This window comes from Homo sapiens, chromosome 13, assembly GCF_000001405.40.
Source record: "Homo sapiens chromosome 13, GRCh38.p14 Primary Assembly".
NCBI classification, from domain to species: domain Eukaryota; kingdom Metazoa; phylum Chordata; class Mammalia; order Primates; family Hominidae; genus Homo; species Homo sapiens.
Window position 1 is genome coordinate 112,528,402 of NC_000013.11, and position 22,967 is coordinate 112,551,368.

General features: G+C 40.5%; 1 protein-coding gene across 12 annotated transcripts in view; it reads right to left on the reverse strand.

The window, feature by feature from the left end:
* TUBGCP3 (tubulin gamma complex component 3) overlaps nucleotides 1-22,967 on the reverse strand; it is a 120,620-nt gene that overhangs the window by 43,391 nt on the left and 54,262 nt on the right. For 8 of the 12 annotated variants that reach the window (XR_007063655.1, XM_017020323.3, NM_001286277.2 and 5 more), the window contains 3 exons: nucleotides 19,707-19,775; nucleotides 19,219-19,351; nucleotides 17,298-17,464 (listed from right to left, as the gene is read on the reverse strand). Coding sequence is in view for 11 of the 12 variants with exons in the window: in XM_017020323.3 (XP_016875812.1) it covers nucleotides 17,298-17,464; nucleotides 19,219-19,351; nucleotides 19,707-19,775 (369 nt within the window). In the remaining variant the exon portion in view is untranslated. Of the gene's footprint in view, nucleotides 1-17,297; nucleotides 17,465-18,080; nucleotides 19,352-19,706; nucleotides 19,776-22,967 lie in introns of those variants that run through there. The other 4 variants (XM_011537462.3, XM_047430036.1, XM_047430037.1 and 1 more) reach the window with 2 other exon arrangements.

The window sequence follows — 22,967 nt, forward strand, 5'->3', positions numbered from 1 at the left end:
CATTTTAGATTTTGCCAGTCAGGTGGAATCATGGTTATCCTATATTGCTGTCATTAACCAAAAATGAAGCCGAGCATATTTTCATAGTTCTAATTGCCATTTGCTTTTCTTCTCCTGTGAATGGTCTTTTCATGCCCTTGACCCATCTTGCTATTCATTTTGTTCTCTCATCAATATACAAAAATTCTTTGTACATTAGGAATAGTGACCATTTGTGAATCATTAAATATTAGAGATTTAATTTTTCCAAGTTAATCATTTGCCATTGTTTATAGTATGGTCCATATTTTAGTTCTGATCTATTTTTTTGTTATATGTAGATAAATGTCAGTCTTCCTTTATGGTTTCTGAGTTTCCTGTCTTCCTAAGATCTTCCCATTCCTAGATTATGAAAATATTGTCCATCATGTTCTTTCAGTATTTCTATTGAGTTATTTTTATTACCTAGATCTGTTTTTTTTTCTTTTTGAGACAGGGTCTCACTCTGTGGCCCAGGCTGGAGTACACTGGCATGATCTTGGCTCACTGCAACGTCTGCCTCCCCAGCTCAAGCCATCCTCCCACCTCAGCCTCCCAAGTAACTGGGACCACAGGAGCACACCACCATGCCTGGCTAATTTTTTGCATTTTTGGTAGAGACAGGGTTTCACCATGTTGCCCAGGCTGGTCTCAAACTCCTGAGCTCAAGCGATCTGCCTGCCTCAGCCTCCCAAAGTGCTGGGATTACAGGTAGGAGCCACCATGCCTGGCCTATTACCTAGATCTTTAATTCCTCTGGAACTTGGTATAATCCTGGCACACAGTATGTTATAAGGGGGAAGTCTACGTCTTCTCCTGGATGGCATTTTTTTCTTTACTGGCCGAGCCGGCCCCATTTAATGAATACACCATCCTTTCCTCTGAGCTAAGGATGCCTCATCAGGAATTGTTAATATCACCAGAATTAATTATATCAACAGATTAAAAGAGGAAATCATTTGACTATATCAAAAAATGCTGAGGAAGCATCTGATAATGCCTCTATTTACATTCTCCAATGATGACCAATTCGTTTTTTATGATCATGAGAGCGTGGATTTAAGCGTGTCCAGTGCTTCCTCCATCACAGTTATGCTCTTCCTGGGGCTCCCCATCTCCTATGTGGGGAGGGGGAGCCTCTTCAAGCCGCTCCTGCGTCCTTCACCCTGGACCCCAGTGGTCTGCCCTACTTTTCTGCTATAGATGGTGCTCTAGGCTTAGCTCTGTCTCTCCCAATACCTAGAATCAGCCACTTCTCCAAGGAGCCCTACTTCCTTTGAGGGAGAAATGGTACCGGGACCATGACCTCAGCACTTGGCAGTATTTTCAATTAAAAGCCAGAAGGCCTAAGACTCAGCACTGCCCTGTGATGCATGGCAGCTGAGTTCTCCAGTCAGACTGTAAAACACATTTCAGTCGTATCACACCCAAAGTGCCTTTTTGGTGATCTTTCCATAAATTCCAAATATCTTTAAAAATTACATAGCAATACAAAATTAACGATCTCTTAGCAAAATGTAATGGTCAAAAGTAACCCAAGAAGCAAGAGAGAGAAGACCCTGAAAACGGTATCTTCAGAAGAAACTGGAAATATAAAATGCTACCACTAAGGCACAGGGTTACTAACACTTTTTAAGACATAATTCTCAGGTTGCTTAACGTATTCTAGGCCACAGAAATACACATAGGATGGCCTCAGTTGATTTCATGAAACTGGCATAACACTAGCACATGTGATTAGAAAAATACCAAAAATATTACAGGACAGTCTCATTTGTGAATATGAATAAACTCTAAATAAAATGTTATACTTGCATTACTGGAATAAAATATTCTTCGTCAGCATATATTATACTTCTAATATGCTATGCTAAATGTCTTAAAAATAAGGGAATATATAAATGAATTACAAAATATTACCATGTAGTCATTAAAAATAGATTGTTCTTAACTACCACAGCCCTTTCCAACAATCTGATGAAAAGTATAGTTCTTCCCAGGAAAAAATCGCATATACAACTGACCCTTGAATCACACCAATTTGAACTGTGCAGGTCCACTTATAGGTGGATGTTTTCCAACCAACGGCGCACACAGAAACTTAGCATCCTCGGGGTGTGAAACGCACTTGTGCGGGAGGCCCGCTTTCTCAACCCACAGCTTCCACCGGCCGACTGCAGGACATGAGTATGTGTGGATTTTGGGATCCACAGGGGTCCTAGAACCAATTCCCCTCGTAATCCATGGGACGATTATATTCACAAAATAGAGTTTCAGAGATCATTTTAATAAGCCTTGGTGTCAAAAAAAAATTTAATGGCATAAAATAATGTTCATTATTTACTTGAACAAGTTGACAATATACTACGCATACGATACACACAAATACACAGAAAAAATCAGTATATACAAATATTAACAGAATGTGTCTGGTCCTGACAGGGTTACTGGAGAATTTTAACTTTATCCTCTGTATGTGCTTATGTGATCAACATTGTTTAAACTGCAAATATTTTTCTATTAGAAAAAAAACACTGTTTAATAAAAGAATCAAGTAATTCTAGCCAAATACTGAACACATGCTACCAGTAAATTGTTGTTTTTTAAATAACGTCATTTTCCCAGGGCAACCAACCAAAAATGAATTTTTTTCTTTCACAGAAATCTACTTCCAAGAGTAAGTATTTCAGGAAACAAAATTTTAATGATGTCAAAATCTTCTATTTGATCCTTTTAAGGGCCAGACACTATCAATTATGTACAGCCAATCTCCTGGTAAGTAGGCACATGAATAAGTGCCAACATTTTTATGACCATAGGGAAGAGGCTGCTACGTTTATTTTCAACTAAAATGTCTTATCTTTAAGTATCAATGTAAATGACTGAAGCATTCACTGATCTATTTTAGCCTTTTGAGATCTATATTGCCCTTCAGGGGTAAACAGCAGTACTATCACGGAGGCGTCATCGACTTAACCTAGACTTCAATTGTCCATGACAGAAATAAGCCCCCGTTGAGTAATCTCGGCAGTGACGAAGTCACCGCGCTCATGCTGGGACTGCTCTGTAGCTTGCCATGCTACAGATTAGATTAACTGCATATAAATTGTATGTCTGTTATTCAGTTAGACAGAAGAGCTCGTTTCTACAGACAACACACTAATTTATCCTAATAGTTGGAGTACAGCCGGATTTTTATCAGTATGAACAATAAAGAAAATGTAAGCCATAAAAAACCTCAGGCAATTCAGGCATGTTTAGAAGTTATGAAAGCACTGCTTCATCTAAGGGCAAAGGAGCATGCAATCACTCCAGCAGCAAACATCTCGTAGCAAGCACACAGCTTGGGTACGCTTTAGAATATAATTAATTCTGTGAAAAATATAGAGTTATAGAGGGAAAAAAACCAAGGTCAGAATATAATTGCGATACGCTTTTATTTTACTAAGGCATTTTCCACTCAAGGTTCTTTAATTTTCACCATTATGTCAAACGCAGAAAGAATTAAGAAAAAAAATAAAACATAATTGTACCATGATTTCTCATTAATTGCTGGACAAATGCCAAGGCCTCCCTACTAAAAACAGAAATGAAGAGGGTAATTTTCTTAGCAAGCAACTTCTGAGAATCAGATCCATTAATACAGACCATAAAAAATTCCAACTTCAACTTGCCAATCACGCAGGCAGCTACCAAGAGATTTCTCCTAAGGCCACACTTAGATACAATAAAATGGCAACCGGACCAGGGGAATGGGTAAATTGGTCAGATTCTCTGTACAACAAAGGATAATTTACAGGGTAAACTTATAATTACAATATTTCAAGAGGTATGGCATAAAAATTCCAAAACATTAAGATATTTTACATGGTAAACTTTTAAATTTCAGTAACACAGCAACAGTGCTAAATAGATCCAGAGATATTCTATCTTATCCATACTTTGTGGATCTTCAAATTCAAGAACGTAGAGTTTTAGAATATTATCACAGCATTTAAGTAAACATTTGAATCAAGTCTGGAAATCTAATTTTGAAAGCAAGTTTAATTTTAACTTGACCCATCTTTTCTTGCTGCTAGTTGAAGCACCTAATCTTTACTATCCAAAGGGCAAATGGAAACTGAGTGGTTCTGCCTCTAACTTGAATATATTGGCATAACTTGTTTACCTTAAGTTTATGGGGGAAGAAGCCAGGTTAGCTACAGAAAGGACTCACCATGCAGCTTCTCTAGATAGTAGTAACACAATGGAAAAAGTTGGTTTACTTTTACAGTACTTACATTTAAGAGCAAAAAATATAAACTTTTCCCCAAATGCTGAAAGTGCTTTCCAACTTAATCATTCGGAATACCTTCCAAACTCTTATAGCCTTCTACTTTTGTCTGCCTTTGCAAATATACAAGATATAAATAAAATAAAAACAAAATTTAGATACCATTCTTAGCACTAGTGGGCTAAAGGTCTATATCCTTTTTATTGTTAAAAAGTAAAATCCCAGATGTTAGACTTAGAGGCAGCTTTCAATGATACCACAGCAGACATAGCAAAGCCCAGATGTCATCTGGAAGTTTTTCTGTCATCTTGCAGTTGCAAATCAGCCAAGCCCAGAGGCAGCTGGGCAGAGAGGCAGTGCAGTGTTCAGCCATGATTGGCACTCAAAGAGCTTCCAGGAAGGAAGACAGGAGAAAGCCTTCACACGTGGAATGAGCTCTGCTGGGCCATCAACAGAGAGACCGAGAGGTCCCTGAGACTGGCAGGAGCCCAACGCAAGGAAGTCCCCGAGGAATAGCAGTAGGCTCTGGGCAGACACAGCCAAGAGGGAGACGCACCGCGTCACCATTCAGCAGGCATCCACCGACTCCCAGGCAGGAGGAACTGGAGGTCAAGGTGAATTCAGGCTTCGGGTCACTACAGAAGGTGCAGCTCTCACACCAGCGCCATGCCCAGCCCATGCATCTCTCATGTTTGCAAAAGCACAGGTCAAAGGAAAGCCCTGGGTCCTGTTCCAACTTGGGCCTCCCTTAACCAGGGCCACAGACAGACAGCACAGCAGGGGTCTGTGGACTTGGGAGGAAAAATAATCTCATCTTTATTTTCACTAACCTCACTAACCTCACTAACCTCTATCTGAAATTTATCTCTTCCTTCAATTATAAATGTGACTAACAAACCACAGCACCCGTGCCTTTGTCGTCAACAGGAACCACACAGTTCACATCACATGTTGAGCTGTTGCAGGTGCTTTGAAATAGGCACTAACCCTTAATGTGCTAAATTTTATTTATTTATTTAAAAAATAAGCCCGCATATTACCACATCACTGACTTGATATTCAGTTTGGACACACTAGATAAAGCAGAGTTCTTTCTAAGAGAATTTCTTTTTTTTTTTTTTTTTAATTTTCTATTTCCATAGGTTTTGGGAAACAAGTGGTGTTTGGTTGCACGAGTAAGTTCTTTAGTGGTGATCTGTGAGATTTTGGTGCACCCATCACCCGAGCAGTGTACACTGCACCCAATTTGTAGTCTTTTATCCCTCACTCCCTTCCCACCCTTTCCCTCCAAGGGAATTTCTTGGAGCCTGCACTACTGCACAGAGGATTGCGAGTGTGGAAGGGAGATGAGTATGCAGAGCTGGTGTGGAAGGAGGTGGCACTCTGAACTCAGCCACCTCCCATCACCTCAAGTTTAGAACAAACTTTGCAGGTCCCCGCCCGACTCCGGGGGCTGCTGCAGGGAATCGGAGGGTGGATAGACCAGGGGTCCTCAAGTTTCAGTGCACAGCAGAAACACCGCGGGGCTTTGGAAATCCTCATGCCCATATCAATCCACATTAAAACTACTGCGGCCGGGCGCGGCGGCTCACGCCTGTAATCCCAGCACTCTGGGAGGCCGAGAGGGGTGGATCACGAGGTCAGGAGATCGAGACCATCCTGGCTAACACGGTGAAACCCCATCTCTACTAAAAGTACAAAAAATTAGCCGGGCGTGGTGGCAAGGCGCCTGTGGTCCCAGCTAATCAGGAGACTGAGGCAGGAGAATGGCGTGAACCCGGGAGGTGGAGCTTGCAGTGAGTCGAGATCGCACCACTGCACTCCAGCCTGGGCGACAGAGGGAAACTCCGTCTCAAAAACAAAACAAAACAAAACAGAAAAAACTCCTGCAAGGCCCCATGTGTGGCAAACAGATGTGCAGCCTGAGAGCTACAGAGCCCTACTTGCGCTCGGCGACGCCATGGTGAACAGGAGCACCTCAACCTAGCAGGGAGGAAGAAGACCCGGGAAAGGAGCCACAGGAGCTACCGTAGCCGGCATCCCTCACCAAGCGTTTGTGTTTTCGGAACTTCTACATTTTTTTTTAGAGGAAATTCACATAATATAAAAGTCACCATTTTAAAGTGTGCAACTTAGTGGCTTCTAGTATATTCACAATATGGTCGTGCGACCATTCCTATGATCTAACTCCAGAAGATTTTCATCAGCCTGGAGAGAAACTCCGTACCCATTAAGCAGTCACTCATTCCTCTCTGCCTCCCCAGCCCCAGTCCCTGACAACATTAACTACTTTCTATCTCTACGCATTTGCCAATTCTGGACATTTCATACGAATGGAATCATACAATATATGGCCTTCTGTGTCTGGCTTACTTCACAGAGCACAATGTTCTCAAGATTCACCCACACTGTAGCAAGTATCAGATTTTCATTTTTTTGTTAAGGCTGAATAATATTCCATTGTATGGATATACGTCATTTTATTTATCAGTTCATCAGTTGATGGACACTGGACCTGTTTTCACTTTTGACTATTATAAATGATGCTGCTATGAATGTTCATAGACAAGTTTTTAGACGAATGCGTGTTTTCATTTCTTTGGGTATATACCTAGGAGTAGAACTGTTGGGTCACATGGTAAATCCATATTTAATTTTTTTAGAAACTGTCAAACTGCTTTCCAGAGGGGCTGCACCATTCTGTGTTTCTAACCAGCAACGATGCAGTTCCCAATTTCTCCAAATCCTTGCCAACACCTGTTATTTTCTGGCTGCTGGTTTGTTTTTGTTAACAAACCTAATGGCTGTGAAGTGGTATTTAATTGTAGTTTTGATTTGCATTTCGCTATAATAATAATCTTTTCCTGTGCTTATTGTCCATTTTTGTATCTTCTTTGGAGAAATATCTTCTCAAACCCTTTTTAAACTGGGTGATTTTTCTTGTTGAGTTGTGATAGTTCTTTATGTATTTGGGATGGGATACTAGACCATTATCAGGTAAGTGATTTGGAAATACTTTTCTCCCACTCTGTGTTTTTTTCACTTTCTCAAAAGTGCCCTTTAATATACATAGTTTTTATTTTGATAAAGCCTGATATACTTGTTCTCACTGCTGGTGCTTTTGATGACATATCTAAGAAACTGCTGCCAAATCCATGGTCCCAAAGATTTACCACTATATCTTCTTCTAAGTTTTATAACTTTGGCCCTTAAATTTAGGTGTCTGATCCATTTTGAGTTAATCTTTACATATGGTGTATGACAGAGATCCCAATGCATTCTTCTACATGCATCCAGTTGTCCTGTTATCATTTGCTGAATACGCTTTTTATCTCCATTGAGTAATCTTGGCACCTTTATTGAAAATCAATAAAAATGAAGATGTACTTCTGGGCTCTCGCTTCTAGTCCATTGACCCAGAGGTCTATCATTATGCCAGTATCACATTGTTTTGATTACCTTGCATTGTAGCATGTTTTAAAATCAGAAAATTTGTTCAACTTTGTTCTTTTACAAGATTGTTTGGCCTCAGGGCCCCTTGTACTTCCCTGTGAATTTGAAGATCAGCTTTTCCATTTCTGCAAAGGCTGTTGGAATTTTGATAGACATTGCATTGAAAGTGTGGCTCGTGTTGGGGGAGTACTGCCATCTTAACAATATCAAACATTGAAAGTGTGTCTCATGTTGGGGAAGCACTGCCATCTTAGCAATATCAAATCTTCCATCCATAAGCACAGAATGTCTTTCCATTTATTTAGGCCTTTTTCATTCCTCTCAACAATGATCTATTCTTTTCAGAGTACAAGTCTTGCACTTCCTTGGTTAAATTTTTTACTATGTATTTAACTTATTTAGATGATATTTTAAATGGAGTTATTTTCTTAATTTCATATTTGGATTATTCATTGAAAGTATATGGAAATATAAATGATTTTTGTTATTGAGCTTGTATCCTGCCAATGTGGTGAACTTATACATTAGACAGCTATACATACACCTCTCTACCTATATATAATCTTTATTATAAAGTATGTGTGGATTCTTTAGTTTTCTATAAATCAGATCAAGTATCTGTGAACAGAAATGGCTTTACTTTTTTTTGGAGACATGGTCTCACTCTGTCACCCAGAGTGCAGTGGTACAATCATAGTTCACTGCAGCCTCAACCTCTTGGGCTCAAGTGATCCTCTGACCTCAGCCTCCCAAGAAGCTAGGACTACAGGTGTGCACCACTACACCTGGCTCATTTTTTCTTAATCTTTTGTAGAGAGGAAGGTCTTGCTATGTTGCCCAGACTGGTCTCAAACTCTGACCGCAAGCCGTGCTCCTGCCTTGGCCTCCCAAAATGCTGGGATTACAGCTGTGAGCCACTGCACCCAGCTGGTTTTACTTTTTCTTTTCCAATCTGGCTATCTGGATGCTTTTACCTTTTTCCTTTTTTTTTTTTTTTTTTTTTAAAAAAAAAAAAAACCTTGACTAATTATCCTGGCCATAACTTTCTCAACAATGCTAAAAGGAAGTGGTAAGAGTGAACACCCTTGTCTTGTTCCTGACCTTATGAAGAAAGCATGGAATCTTTAAGTATGATGTTAGCTGTTGGTGTTTCACAGATGCCCTTTATTAGTTATGTTCCTTTCTATTCCAAGTTTGACTGTTTTATCATAAAAGGGTACTGAATCTCATCAAATGCTTTTTCAGCACCAGTTGAGTTGATCATTTTTTCTTTCACTGCCTTAGTAAGATGTCTTACATTGATTGACTTTGATTATATTGAACTACCCTTGCATTCTTGGGATTAATTCCACTTGGCCATTGTGTACAATCCTTCTACTATGCTGATGAATTCTGTTTTCCAGTATTTTACTGAGGATTTTTGCATCTATATTCCTAAGAACTACTGGTATGTAGTTTTTGTGTGTTGTATCATGTTGACTTCATAAAATGAGTTAAGTAGTATTCCATCCTATTCTATTTTTTTAAGGAATCTGAGAAGGGTTGCTGTTAATTCTTTAAATAGGATTGCTGTTAATTCTTTAAATATTTGGTAGCACTCACCAGAGAAGCCATCGGCTCCTGCACTTTTCTTTGCTAAAGTTTCCTGATTAATGATTCAATCTCTTTACCTGTTACAGGTCTATTCAGGTTTTCTATTTCTTTGTGAATCAATTTTGGTAGTCCGTATGCTTCTAGGAACTCTCTCAAGTTTTATCTATCTAGAAATGTCTTGATTTTGACATCATTTTTGAATGGGAATTCTGTTGGATACAGAATTCTTGAATCATCATGGTTTTGCTTTCCGCCTTTTGAATGTATTCTCCCCCACCTTGTGGCCTCCACAGTTTCTGATGAGAAATCGGCTATTCATCTTATTGAGGATCCCTTCTGTGTGATGGGTTTTCCCACCTGCCACTTTGAAGATTTGCTCTGTCTCTCTACAGTTTGGTTATATAGGTTGAGTATCCCTAATCTCAAAATCTGAAATCCAGAATGCTCAAAAAATCCAAGCATCTTGGACACCAGCATGACACTGACAGGAAATGTTCATTGCAGTATTTCTGATATCAGATTCTCTGACTGGGGATGCTGAACATAAGTATAATGCAAGCATTCCAAAATCCAGACTCCAAAACTTCCGGTCCCAAGCATTTTAGATAAGAGATATTCAACCTAAATGTGTCTTGCTGTGGTGAGTTTATCCTACTTTTGAGAGTTTGCTGAGCTCCTTGAATGTGTAGATTAATGTTTCTCATCAAATTTGGGTCTCTTTGCTCTGTTCATTTTCCTTCCCTCTTTTAACTTTCTGTTCTCAGACTGGATGGTCTCAATTGACCTAAACTCAAGTTGCTGACTTTCTTCTCCCTGTTCAAATCTGCTGTAGTGCCCCACTAGTGAGTTCATTCATTTCAGTAATTGTCCTTTTTAACTCCAGAATTTCTATTTGGCTCTTTTTTACAATTTCTATCTCTTTATTGATATTTTGCACTTTTATTATAAAAAGAAGCATTTTCTTATATAGATATACAATAAATTACTATGAGATGAAAGATTATAAAGCTCACTTATAACTATTTAGAGTTAACCACACACTTGAAAAAAATGCAATTTTACAACAAAGTTATAATTCCCATTAGGGAAACTAAGGAAAAATTAACCTATAGAAGAAACAAAGAGACAAAATTTCCACATTTTAATTACATAGTGATCAAACACACAATGTAATTGTCTAAATTACCAAATTCTTAGGGTAAAGATGTTATTAATACTTAGAGTAAATTAAAGAGAACCTCACCAAAACTAATCAAAGACTTAAATGGATATTTATAAATGTAGGGTCTAACAGAAAAAACAGATGTCCGAGAACTACAAACAAATCAGACAAAGCCCACAGACATCTTAGGGACAGAAGATATTCAAATTTTATCCAATGTTCTCCTTAAAGTAGCAGCAGATACGCTATACACTTCCTATTGGTCTGATGTAATCTTCACACATACACAAAATCACACCAGACAAGCACTATCATACACACATCTGGAAGATGGGGAAGGGAAGGCCCAGAGAGGTGAAGGTATTTGCCCAGGATACAGAGTCATCAGAACCTGAAGCCAACAGCCAGACCCAAATCAGACTTCAGAACCTAAGCTCTTGAGCTCAAACCCACAGAGATAAAGTAGTCAGATGAGTTACAATGAGATAAACCGGTAGGTGGTATATGCCCACTGGTATTGCAGTACTAAACATAGCAGACCCATGGCAAAGAACACAATATACTTTATGTCAAGAAAGATTAATTTTAGCTCCATCAATCACAATGCATTTCTGAAAAAACCTACAAGCAAAATTAGTGAAGCAAACAAGAGTATCTCAGGTGTAAAGAGCTATTTGGACAAAATGACTAGCAAATTTAAAAATTACAAATCATGAACTTCCTAGAGCTCTATCTAATCTCAGACCCTAGGTACGTGCATCAGTAAATACAGAACCTTTAAAATAAAAAAAAGACAGGGATCATGACATCATTGTAGTAGCCTATCGGCATTTGGGTGGTCTTGGGAAAGGATACCTGGGAATGACGACATCAATGTAGTAGCCTATGAGCATTCAGGTGGTCTTGGGAAAGGATACCTGGGAATGAGGACGTCAATGTAGTAGCCTATGAGCATTCAGGTGGTCTTGGGAAAGGATACCTGGGAGTGATGACGTCAATGTAGTAGCCTATGAGCATTCAGGTGGTCTTGGGAAAGGATACCTGGGAGTGATGACGTCAATGTAGTAGCCTATGAGCCTTCAGGTGGTCTTGGGAAAGGACACCTGGGAATGAGGACGTCAATGTAGTAGCCTATGAGCATTCAGGTGGTCTTGGGAAAGGACACCTGGGAATGAGGACGTCAATGTAGTAGCCCTATGAGCATTCAGATGATCTTGGGAAAGGACACCTGGGAATGAGGATGTCAATATAGTAGCCTATGAGCATTCAGGTGGTCTTGGGAAAGGATACCTGGGAGTGATGACGTCAATGTAGTAGCCTATGAGCATTCAGGTGGTCTTGGGAAAGGATACCTGGGAGTGATGACGTCAATGTAGTAGCCTATGAGCATTCAGGTGGTCTTGGGAAAGGACACCTGGGAATGAGGACGTCAATGTAGTAGCCCTATGAGCATTCAGGTGGTCTTGGGAAAGGATACCTGGGAGTGATGACGTCAATGTAGTAGCCTATGAGCATTCAGGTGGTCTTGGGAAAGGACACCTGGGAATGAGGACGTCAATGTAGTAGCCCTATGAGCATTCAGGTGATCTTGGGAAAGGACACCTGGGAATGATGACATCAATGTAGTAGCCTATGAGCATTCAGGTGGTCTTGGGAAAGGACACCTGGGAATGAGGACGTCAATGTAGTAGCCTATGAGCATTCAGGTGGTCTTGGGAAAGGACACCTGGGAATGAGGACGTCAATGTAGTAGCCCTATGAGCATTCAGATGGTCTTGGGAAAGGACACCTGGGAATGATGACATCAATGTAGTAGCCTGTGAGCATTCAGGTGGTCTTGGGAAAGGACACCTGGGAATGTTTTGCATTAATTCTTGCAACTTTTCTAAGTCTAAAATTAAATCAAAAGGAAAACATTTAAAAGTGAAAATCTTTGCCAATGAGGCAAGACCTGAGGTAAGTTCATTAATAATTTGAGATGCTGATTTGAATATTATACTCAATAGACATGCATTATTTTATTTTTAAATAAATAAAACATGAACATTAGCCTTATACATATTCTAAGCAACAAGAGTGCTTCAAAAAAGTTTCCCAAATTTAAACCACACTAGTCCTAAGGGTCTGCTTTTGTCTCACCTCAATGAATCAAAGTTTAAACATATTAAAGAAAAAAGTACAGAAGAAAATCGATTTATCAGTTTTTGCCCAATTCCCTCTGCATTCCCTATCAACTCTCCAGTCCCATCATTACTATCACGAAAGGAAATGAATACACAAGCCTGAATAACACATAAGGCAGAGAATCAATAAAGAACTCGCGGTACCTTTAAGGACTCCTTTAAAAACACAGACAAATGGCCAGGCGTGGTGGCTCTCGCCTGTAATCCCAACACTTTGGGAGGCCGAGGCGGGTGGATCACCTGAGGTCAGGAGTTCAAGACCAGCCTGGCCAACATGGTGAAATCCCGCCTCTACTAAAAATATGAAAATTAGCTGGGCGAGGTGGCACGTGCCTGTAATCCCAGCTACTCAGCAGGCTGAGGAAGGAGAATTGCTTGAACCCAGGAGGCAGAAGTTACAGTGCACCAAGATGATACCACTGCATTCCAGCCTCGGCGGCAGAGCAAGACTCCGTCTCAAAAAAAAAAAAAAAAAAATACCACAGACAAATATAATGAATTGGTGGTTCAACTAAGGAGTACTTTAAAAGCCTGGTTGTGAAAAATATGCAAACTAAATTAATCTCAAGACAGAAGTATTGCAAATTACAAATTAGGTACTAAAGTCAAAAAAGACAATTAGCCAGCTTGTGGCTTTGACTTTTGTTCTAATTATTAGCAATATATATCCTAATAGTATGAAAACTCAGACAATTCCCACTCCAATCTCTGAAGAAAACCAGGTTTATCAATTGATCAGCAATCATTAGAAAAGTTGAAATCGCCCAAATTCATACTATAACTCACACACTAATTATTGAACGAAGAGGATACAGATTCTTTAATTAAATAAAAAGGTAAACTTTCTCCTTTTTATAATCCTAATTTTTAAAGATTGCCTTAAAATATCATCTTTTACTTCTGAAGGGTACAATTATAATGGATGATAAGAAGATACACCTCAAAACTGAGAACAGTAACACACAGAACTTTTTATTTCTGGTGTACATGCTGGTCAAAGTATTTCTCATAAATCTACACCACTAAGCATGGCTGAGAGTAAACAAATCATAGTAATATAAAAAGAACATACGTTCTGAAAATAAAACATTGATTTTTCATTTTCTTAACCACAAGATCACTTAGACTCCCATAAACTAATTAAATAACAAATTTTTTAAACTCAAATAACTTGGCTTATTGTGATAATGGTCAGGAGATTTAATATGCATTCTAAATAATCAATTGCACAGGTTTTTAAACAGCTATCAAAACTCACCTCATCCTGTAATTATGGAATAACTGAACATAAATGCATTAAAAATGGCAAGCCTCACTCTATCAAAGGAAACGCCCATTACCTACATGTCCTTAGCACCTTACCATTGTGATAGATAAAAACTAAATAGTACAAGAATTTAAGTCTCCATTTAATCTTGAAAAATTAAGTCTAGAACTTTAAGTCAATTCAATAATTTTATGATACTTTCCAGAAACAGACCTAAAAATAAGGATTCAAATTTAAATGATGAATACCAAATATACCTCTATAGATGGCATGTATATGTATTTTAACATTGAACATTATATAAAATTTAAACTAAGAATTGAGCTACCTACAGTGTCAGAGGTCAGTATAAAGTTTACCTTTAAGGAGAAGGGGACAATGATGGGTACACAATAGGGGTACTGATAAGTGCTACTTCTTGACTTCGATAGTGACTTAATACAAATTGCATATAAAAAATTAAAAATATAAAATAACCTAGATTTAAACAAAAGGTACAGAGCTTAAGAGTGTAGGGCCAGGCACGGTGGCTCACGCCTGTAATCCCAGCACTTTGAGAGGCCAAGGTGGGCGGATTGCCTGAGCTCAGGAGTTCAAGACCAGCCTGGGCAACAAAGTGAAACCCCGTCTCTACTAAAATACAAAAAAACTTAGCTGGGCGTAGCAGCGTGCGCCTGTAGTTCCAGCTACTTGGGAGGCTGAGGCAGGAGAACTGCTTGAACCCCAGAGGTGGAGGTTGCAGTGAGCTGAGATCGCGCCACTGCACTCCAGCCTGGACAACAAAGCGAGACTCCATCTCAAAAAAAAAGAGTGTGGCGGTCCATGCAGGTATGCAGAACCTGGGAAATGGACACAATTCTTCATCTTAATGGAGGAAGGGGTTAAAAAAGAAAGTTTACTAGTGATTTTAACATTTAGAAAGATACAGGCTCACAAAAGCTCTGAAAAACTTGAGGTAACCATTAGTAAAATAAAACACACCTTACAAAGCTTCAGTTTTTATTTTAAAAGAAAGTTCATACAACAAAAGGAACATAAGAAGCCTGAAAATCCTTTTTAATCTCCAAATCCAATATGCAATCCCTATAAAAATTTTTAAAAGAACTTTTAACGGAATTGACAGGCTGATTCTAAATTCATATCTAAGTATAAATGTGCAAAAACAGAGAAATTGTGAAAAGAACAAAAGGTAAGTACTGCCTCTACCAAATTTCAAACCATAGAGTCATTTAAATCATATTGACAGATGAAAAGCAAACAGAAAAAATACAATCCAGAAACAGATTCAAGTATATAGAGAAATTTAGTTTATGATAAAACGTAGTAAAACTTGTGTGGAGTCTCAGTTAAGGCTCAGTCAACAGTACAATGATTCTTCGTACTATTTTTGCAACTTTTTTATAAGTTTGGAAGAATGTGAAAAAAAGTTAAAAGATATAATTTTTTAAAAGAGCAATTCCATATATAAAAATTTGAAAATATAAAACCATCCATGATTCACTCCTAAAAAGAAAAACAAATCCATAAGAAAAATGGGCAAAGGAAACTAACAGGTAATCAGAAGAAGAAATAAAAAAATAACCTATAAGCACGAAAAGCTGGTCAGTCTCACTAGTAATCAGGGAAATGCAAATAAACACCCCAGTGAGATGGCACATTTCGTGCATTAGGTGAAAATATTCTTATTAACATTGGGTAAGACAAAGTGTTGACAAGGACGCGGGAATGAGGACCATAACAGGAAGCTGATAGCTGCGTCAACCTGGATAGGCACTCCTGAGTGCAACGTGGCAGAAGCAGTTTAAAATATGCATCCCCACAGGCCGGGCGCAGTGGCTCACGCCTGTAATCCCAGCACTTTGGGAGGCCAAGGCGGGCAGATCACAAGGTCAGGAGATCGAGACCATCCTGGCTAACACAGTGAAACCCCGTCTCTACTAAAAATACAAAAATTAGCCAGGCATGGTGGCGGGCACCTGTAGTCCCAAGCTACCTGGGAGGCTGAGGCAGGAGAATGGCGTGAACATGGGAGGCAGAGCCTGCAGTGAGCCGAGATTGAGCCACTGCACTCCAGCCTGGGCAAAAGAGCGAGACTCTGTCTCAAAAAAAAAAAAAAAAAAAAAAAAATGCATCCCCACAACCCAGCAATCCCACCTCCCAGAACCCACGTTAGAGAAACTCATAAATACGTGCAGGGAGACACATAAAAGGATGTTCATTTTAATACTGTTCATAAGATTAAAAACTACAAAGAAAACATCATCTCCATCAACAGGACAGTAGCTAGATAAAAACATATCTGTCCCTACTGTGAAATAATATGCAGTAATAAAGAAAAACTACACACACCATCGGGAAAGTGCTACAAGACAGGCTAAGCAACTCGCCCAACGCAGATGCACACACGCCATGCCGCCCATGTGTTTCAAAAGCACACAGAGCACCAGAGACTCCATTCTGCCCAAACGCTTGCTTTAAAAACAACTTGTAACAGCACAAACAATAAATTAGAAAACAAATTGAATGTAATACAAACCTCACGCTTGCTTATTTGCAATTTCATCCATGAGAAACGGCAGGAGAACACAGGCCACTGCAGCCAGCAGCGCCCACACAAGGCACACCTGTTTCAGATGGCCAGGCCTCCGCCACTTCCCGCCACACACAGTCTGCGGCCCCGACGGCCCACTCCCACAAGAAAGCGCCAGGGTTTTTCCAAGGCCAATGTGATATTTATGGCAGTGCTTATGTATTTCTTAAACTTTAACGTGTTAAACTGCACTACAACTTTTGTTAGATTCCTGTCTTACTGACAAAGGTTTTGAGTGTGGTGCCCCTCACCCTACCTTCCACCAAAAGCCCTATCATTTCTATCATGTGATTTACACAACAGTGATTTTTAAGCAGCACATGCTGCGTTACAGAACTGACCCTATTTCAATAGCTACATACACAACTAACTTGTTTCATTAAGCTGTTAGCACCAAAGTGAGTTTGCAAAGTAATCATGGCAAAGCAGCAGAATCTGCGATGATGACTGCCCCAAGACTCAGGAGGCCTCGTCCTGTTTTGCCATCCACGTGCTAGTAAACTCGGACGAGTGATTCCACCTTGCTGAGGAATAAACTGGGACAATTCTCCACTAACCAAAGAACTCGTGAACTTATCTGCTGTTCAGTGAGATAACCAGCTGTCGAGGCACTGTGTAAAATGTATATGGTATTCAATGGAAGTGCAGTTGCATTCCTGTTAGGAGAACATGGTAATCATGAGGGGAAAAATGAAACAGCATAACTGCGTGCCCATGCTTTTTAAATCCAAGTCTCAGAACCGAACACCGATCCTTACTTCGTGGTAAGTGTCCTCAAGCTCCCCATCATATATCCAGCGGTACAGGAAGCTCAAAACAGGATGAGACACGAGGCTGAGGATGTGCTGCACCAGAGACCGCATGTACGGGTCTCCTGTTTTTGTGTAGGCGTGGACAGCTGAGGCCAGCTCACCTCCTTTCCTTCCTGGGAGAAATGGAGGAAAATACACAAAAACATCCACATTTACACTCATAGTACACACCAGTCACTTCTCACCAACCAAAGACGCCCAAGTAATTGAGATAAAGAGCATTTGTTTTCTTACAGTTAATACCACTTTGGACCTAGAAGCAGCAGTAACATGTCATGATTCAGAAACCAGGAGGTCCAGACTCCAACCCTGGCTTTACACAAGTGTGTGAGTCACTCTTCTCTTTAGGACTGCTGAGGAATTTTTCAGAAACAAAAAGTAGCAAAAAATTGCCGGCTACACAATCTAAAGTTCACATGACTTTTCATGCCTTTTCTACTTGAGACATACTAAGATTCACGCTTCATGGTGCAAAGGAGGGCACAAACATGTATGAAAAGCAGAAGTCCTGTGAATCCATCCTTGTACTTTTTTTTTGGTATGGTATGCTAGCCCCAGCCCATTAACTGGTTTCATAACCCATTAACTGGCTACAACAGACAGTGTGAGAAACACCGCTCTATGTAGAGAGAAGAGGCCCCCCGGGCCTTGGCCAGAACTACACAGTATGAAGGACTGGGAGTGGCAAAAATCCGGTCTGGAAATAGAAGCACATGAAGAGTTCTTATGTTATGCTAAAAATTCAAGATTTTATTAGACCACTGGTAGATTTTAGGGAGAGGAGTGACAGGATCTGATTTTAAGAAGATGGCTCTGGTGTGTGTACACAAAGTGGGGCTGTGAGATTGAATATGGGGATCGGACAGCAGCTCTTATAACAGTCCCTACAGCACCAAGGCCAAGCGCACAGGCTGAGCAGAGTGAAGACAGTGAAGGACCCCAGGGGCCCGCTGGACACAGAAAGTGACAGAGGAGTTTGGGGGATCCAGTTCCGGAGAGGTGCTGGGAACTGGAGAAAACGCTGGCGTTTATTTACTGTGCTCCACTTCTCTCTTTTTTGAGGGAAGTGCCAAGAGGTGAGAGAGGAAGGTGTGCAGACAGCAAGATGACCAATGGGGCCCTGCAGATTCTGGGGAACACCCTGGGCAGAGGATGGCAGTGAGAAGGGAACTCTTGTGTGGCAGATGGCCAACTCGCCCATCTCATGTCATCCTAACAACCCTAAGAAGTAACTGCTACTAGGATCTCAATGTTACAAACGAGGGAGAAGGCAAAGAGGTTCTTGGCCAAGGTAGCACAAACAATGAGAAAAAATGTCAGAAAGCAACTAGCAATACAGAACCTAGAGCCAGAGAGGCCAAAGCAAGACATGCAAATATGGGAACATCTGACCGAGAGTCACCAACATGGTCCCTGACTGCAGAAGGACTAAAGGCAAAAAGCAAAATGCAAGGAAAGGCGACCAAGGGAGCAGCAAGCACCATGGGGAGCCATAACCAAGGACCACACAAGAGAGAAATCTTTAAACACGAGACACCCTCCTCTTTCCCACCTCCATCTCAATGCCAGCCCGAGCTTCTACCATATAAATACTGGGCCACACTGGCAAGTGGTTACGTCCCCTCTTGGCTCCCATCTGTCGATTCCTATCGAATCAACACGGCCATTAAGGACAAAAACGGGCAGGACACAAAAGCAAGCCTGGATGGCGCACCCTACAAACGAGTTCTGAAACAAAGCGAGTGCCAGACGCGCGTGGGAAAGACGCGCGTGGGAAAGACGTGCATGGGAAAGTCGCGCGTGGGAAAGTCGCGCGTGGGAAAGTCGCGCGTGGGAAAGACGTGCGTGGGAAAGACGCGCGTGGGACCTTGGCAGTGGTCCACTAGGGCCGCAAGGGTCTTCAGTCGTATTTTGGGATCATAGGTCCAAACCAGGAGGCGCCGAAGTGTTAAACTACTCTCAAGTCCCAAATTCACACCCTGGTCATCCTCTAGTTGTAGCTAAAAAACAATAAAGATAGAAATGTTTAAGTACAAATAACCACATAGATCACACTTCTTAATCTATATCAAGTGAACATAAGAAAATGATTATACTCATAAAAATGAAGCCAAAGTCCCCTTTAAAAAAAAATAGTATTTTAAAGCTACCTTTAACCGGTAGAACCCCGAAAATTGGCAATTAACTGGCTCTAGGATACACTGAAACTTGATATTCAAACCTTACAAATAATATTATGAAAAATATTGCTGTATTTTAAAAGTAATGTATGAAGGAACTTAAAACATTCTATATAGCTTCAATTTTGTAACACTTCAAATCATAAAGAAATAAAAATAAAAATAAAATATTTACCTGAGAATGTAAAACAGAGAGCAATCGATAGTATTCTCTGAGTTCCTGGTGCAAGGCAGCACAAAAGCTCTGTTTGGAGGAGAAATATAATTAAAGCACGACACACTCATTACACATTGACTGATTTTAAGTGGAAAGGTATAATGCGTTTAGATAAAGTTCAGGTGGGGTGCTACAAGATTTAAATTCAGGTTTTGTCAATAATCTTCTAATCATCTTAATCACCACAATATATATTTTAATAATATGAAAAAAGTGTTGTTCCTTAGTACAAAAAGCATGAACTTTGCAGAAGAGGAATGGAAAAAATATATATGGTATAGTTTTCATGAAGTGTAGTGACTTTAGAGAATGATCCTTTAAGATGATATCCCCTGTAGATCTAATTAAACTAAAGAGCTTCTGCACAGCAAAAGAAACTACCATCAGAGTCAACAGGTAACCTGCAGAATGGGAGAAAATTTTTACAATCTACCCTTCTGACAAAGGGCTAATATCCAGAATCTACAAAGAACTTAAACAAATTTACAAGAAAAAATCAAACAATCCCATCAAAAAGTGGGCAAAGCATATGAACAGACACTTCTCAAAAGAAGACATTTATGCAGCCAACAGACACATGAAAAAATGCTCATCATCACTGGCCATCAGAGACATGCAAATCAAACCACAATGAGATACCATCTCACACCAGTTAGAATGGTGATCATTAAAAAGTCAGGAAACAACAGGTGCTGGAGAGGATGTGGAGAAATAGGAACACTTTTACACTGTTGGTGGGACTGTAAACTAGTTCAACCATTGTGGAAGACAGTGTGGCGATTCCTCAAGGATCTAGAGCTAGAAATACCATTTGACCCAGCCATCCCATTAGTGGGTATATACCCAAAGGACTATAAATCATGCTGCTATAAAGACACATGCACACGTATGTTTACTGCAGCACTATTCACAATAGCAAAGACTTGGAACCAACCCAAATGTCCATCAATGATAGACTGGATTAAGAAAATGTGGCACATATACACCATGGAATACTATGCAGCCATAAAAAATGATGAGTTCATGTCCTTTGTAGGGACGTGGATGAAGCTGGAAACCATCATTCTGAGCAAACTATCAGAAGGACAGAAAACAAAACACCGCATGTTCTCACTCACAGGTGGGAATTGAACAATGAGAACACTTGGACACAGGGTGGGGAACTTGGATACCGGGGCCTGTTGTGGGGTGGGGGGAGCGGGGAGGGATGGCATTAGGAGATTTACCTAATGTAAATGACAAGTTAAAGGGTGCAGCACACCAACACGGCACATGTATACATATGTAACAAACCTGCACGTTGTGCACATGTACCCTAAAACTTAAGGTATAATAATAAAAAAATTAATTAATTAATTAATTAAAAAAGATTATATCCCCTGTAAATATTCAGGGTTAAAATGTAATTTTCTTTCATGCTCTTAATTAACAAAATTTTAAAATTGGCAGCTCAATGCCAATCCTCCTAATTTTTGTTCTGTTTGCACTGCTTGTTCTTCTGACCCCTATTAGTAGTAAGAACTTTTCCACACATCTCCAATCTTAAAAACTGATAGGAGGCCGGGTGCAGTGGCTCACGCCTGTAATCCTAGCACTTTGGGAGGCCAAGGCGGGCGGATCACGAGGCCAGGAGATCGAGACCATCCTGGCTAACATGGTGAGACCCCTGTCTCTACTAAAAATACCAAAAATTAGCCGGGCGTGTTGGCGGGTGCCTGTGGTCCCAGCTACTCAGGAGGCTGAGGCAGGAGAATGGCTTGAACACAGGAGGCGGGGCTTGCAGTGAGCCAAGATCACAACACTGCACTTCAGCCTGGGCGACAGGGTGAGACTCCATCTCAAAAAAAAAAAAAAAAAAAAAAAAAAATACTGAAAGGAGTCAGGTCAAAACAACAGGAATCAGAAGCTAGAAGAGGCACCCTGATACACCTGCATCCAGTCCTGTGGCAAGAGCCTTCAGGGATGAGCTGTGGGATGTAACTCCAGGATGCCTGGGGGCAGCTCTGCTGTTCAAGGAGCCCACAGCAGAAGCAGCCTGCAAGGGATAAACCTGTGTTCTTTCTCATTCAGTTTTATCCAGCAAAACTCCATCAAAAAATTTTTTTTAATTGTTTTTTAAACTTGTTTTCTTTAAGTAAATATGTAGGTTGCATACCTTTCTGTATATTTTTAAAATATATCAGCAGTCACCTATAGGTGTATTTTACTGCATTTATGGTTTGTGGACTAAGACAAATGTGAACATTTTCAAGTATGAAAATGAACATAAAACATACTAATTTTGTAGACACAAAAGGACACGTCAAAAGTGAGGTGTGCAAGAAGAAACGTCCTAGAGTCTGGAATGAGACAGACCAGGGGGTAAAAATCCAGGGCTCCCGCTGGAGGTACCGCCACGTGTCAGCCCCTGACGGTATGAACCTCTAGGCTCATCTACAAAGGGAGGAAGAATAAATGCGGTAACGTAGGGCAAGCGCCTGGCACAGTGTGGGCACAAAGGTGCTTACTAAACCATAGGTCAGTTTTCTTAGGTAATATTTACAGAGAAAACGACATGGAATCTGCTCAGGCACAGCATCACTCTTTACCAAAACTCCATCCCAGCCCCAGGGCAGGAGAGCAGACACATAAACACATCAAAGCTTTGAAAAACCTGCTGAAATATGCGGCCAGGTGCGGTGGCTCACGCCTGTAATCTCATCACTTTGGGAGGCCAAGGCGGGCAGATCATGAGGTCAGGAGATTAAGACCATCCTGGCTAACACAGTGAAACCCCGTCTCTATTAAAAATACAAAAAAATTAGCCGGGCGTGGTGGTGGGTGCCTGTGGTTCCGGCTACTCGGGAGGCTGAGGAAGGAGAATGGCGTGAACATGGGAGGCGGAGCTTGCAGTGAGCCGAGATCGCGCCACTGCACTCCAGCCTGGGTGACAGAGCGAGACGACTCCGTCTCAAAAAAAAAACAAAAACAAAACCTGCTGAAATAATCAAATCATTATCCAACGTGTAGAATCTAAGTATTTATATACAGGTGTATGTGAGTCAGCTTCTGAGAAGTCTACAACCAAAAGAGTGGAAGTGCAGGCAGAGCGCGGCAGCGCCACACACACTCAGAGGGAAAAGGCCTGTGGTTAGCAGAGGCTGTTTCCACCTTGGTTCATTAAATGCACATGTAAGTTTCACACTTACAAAACAGTATCTTCATTCATATATGATTTTG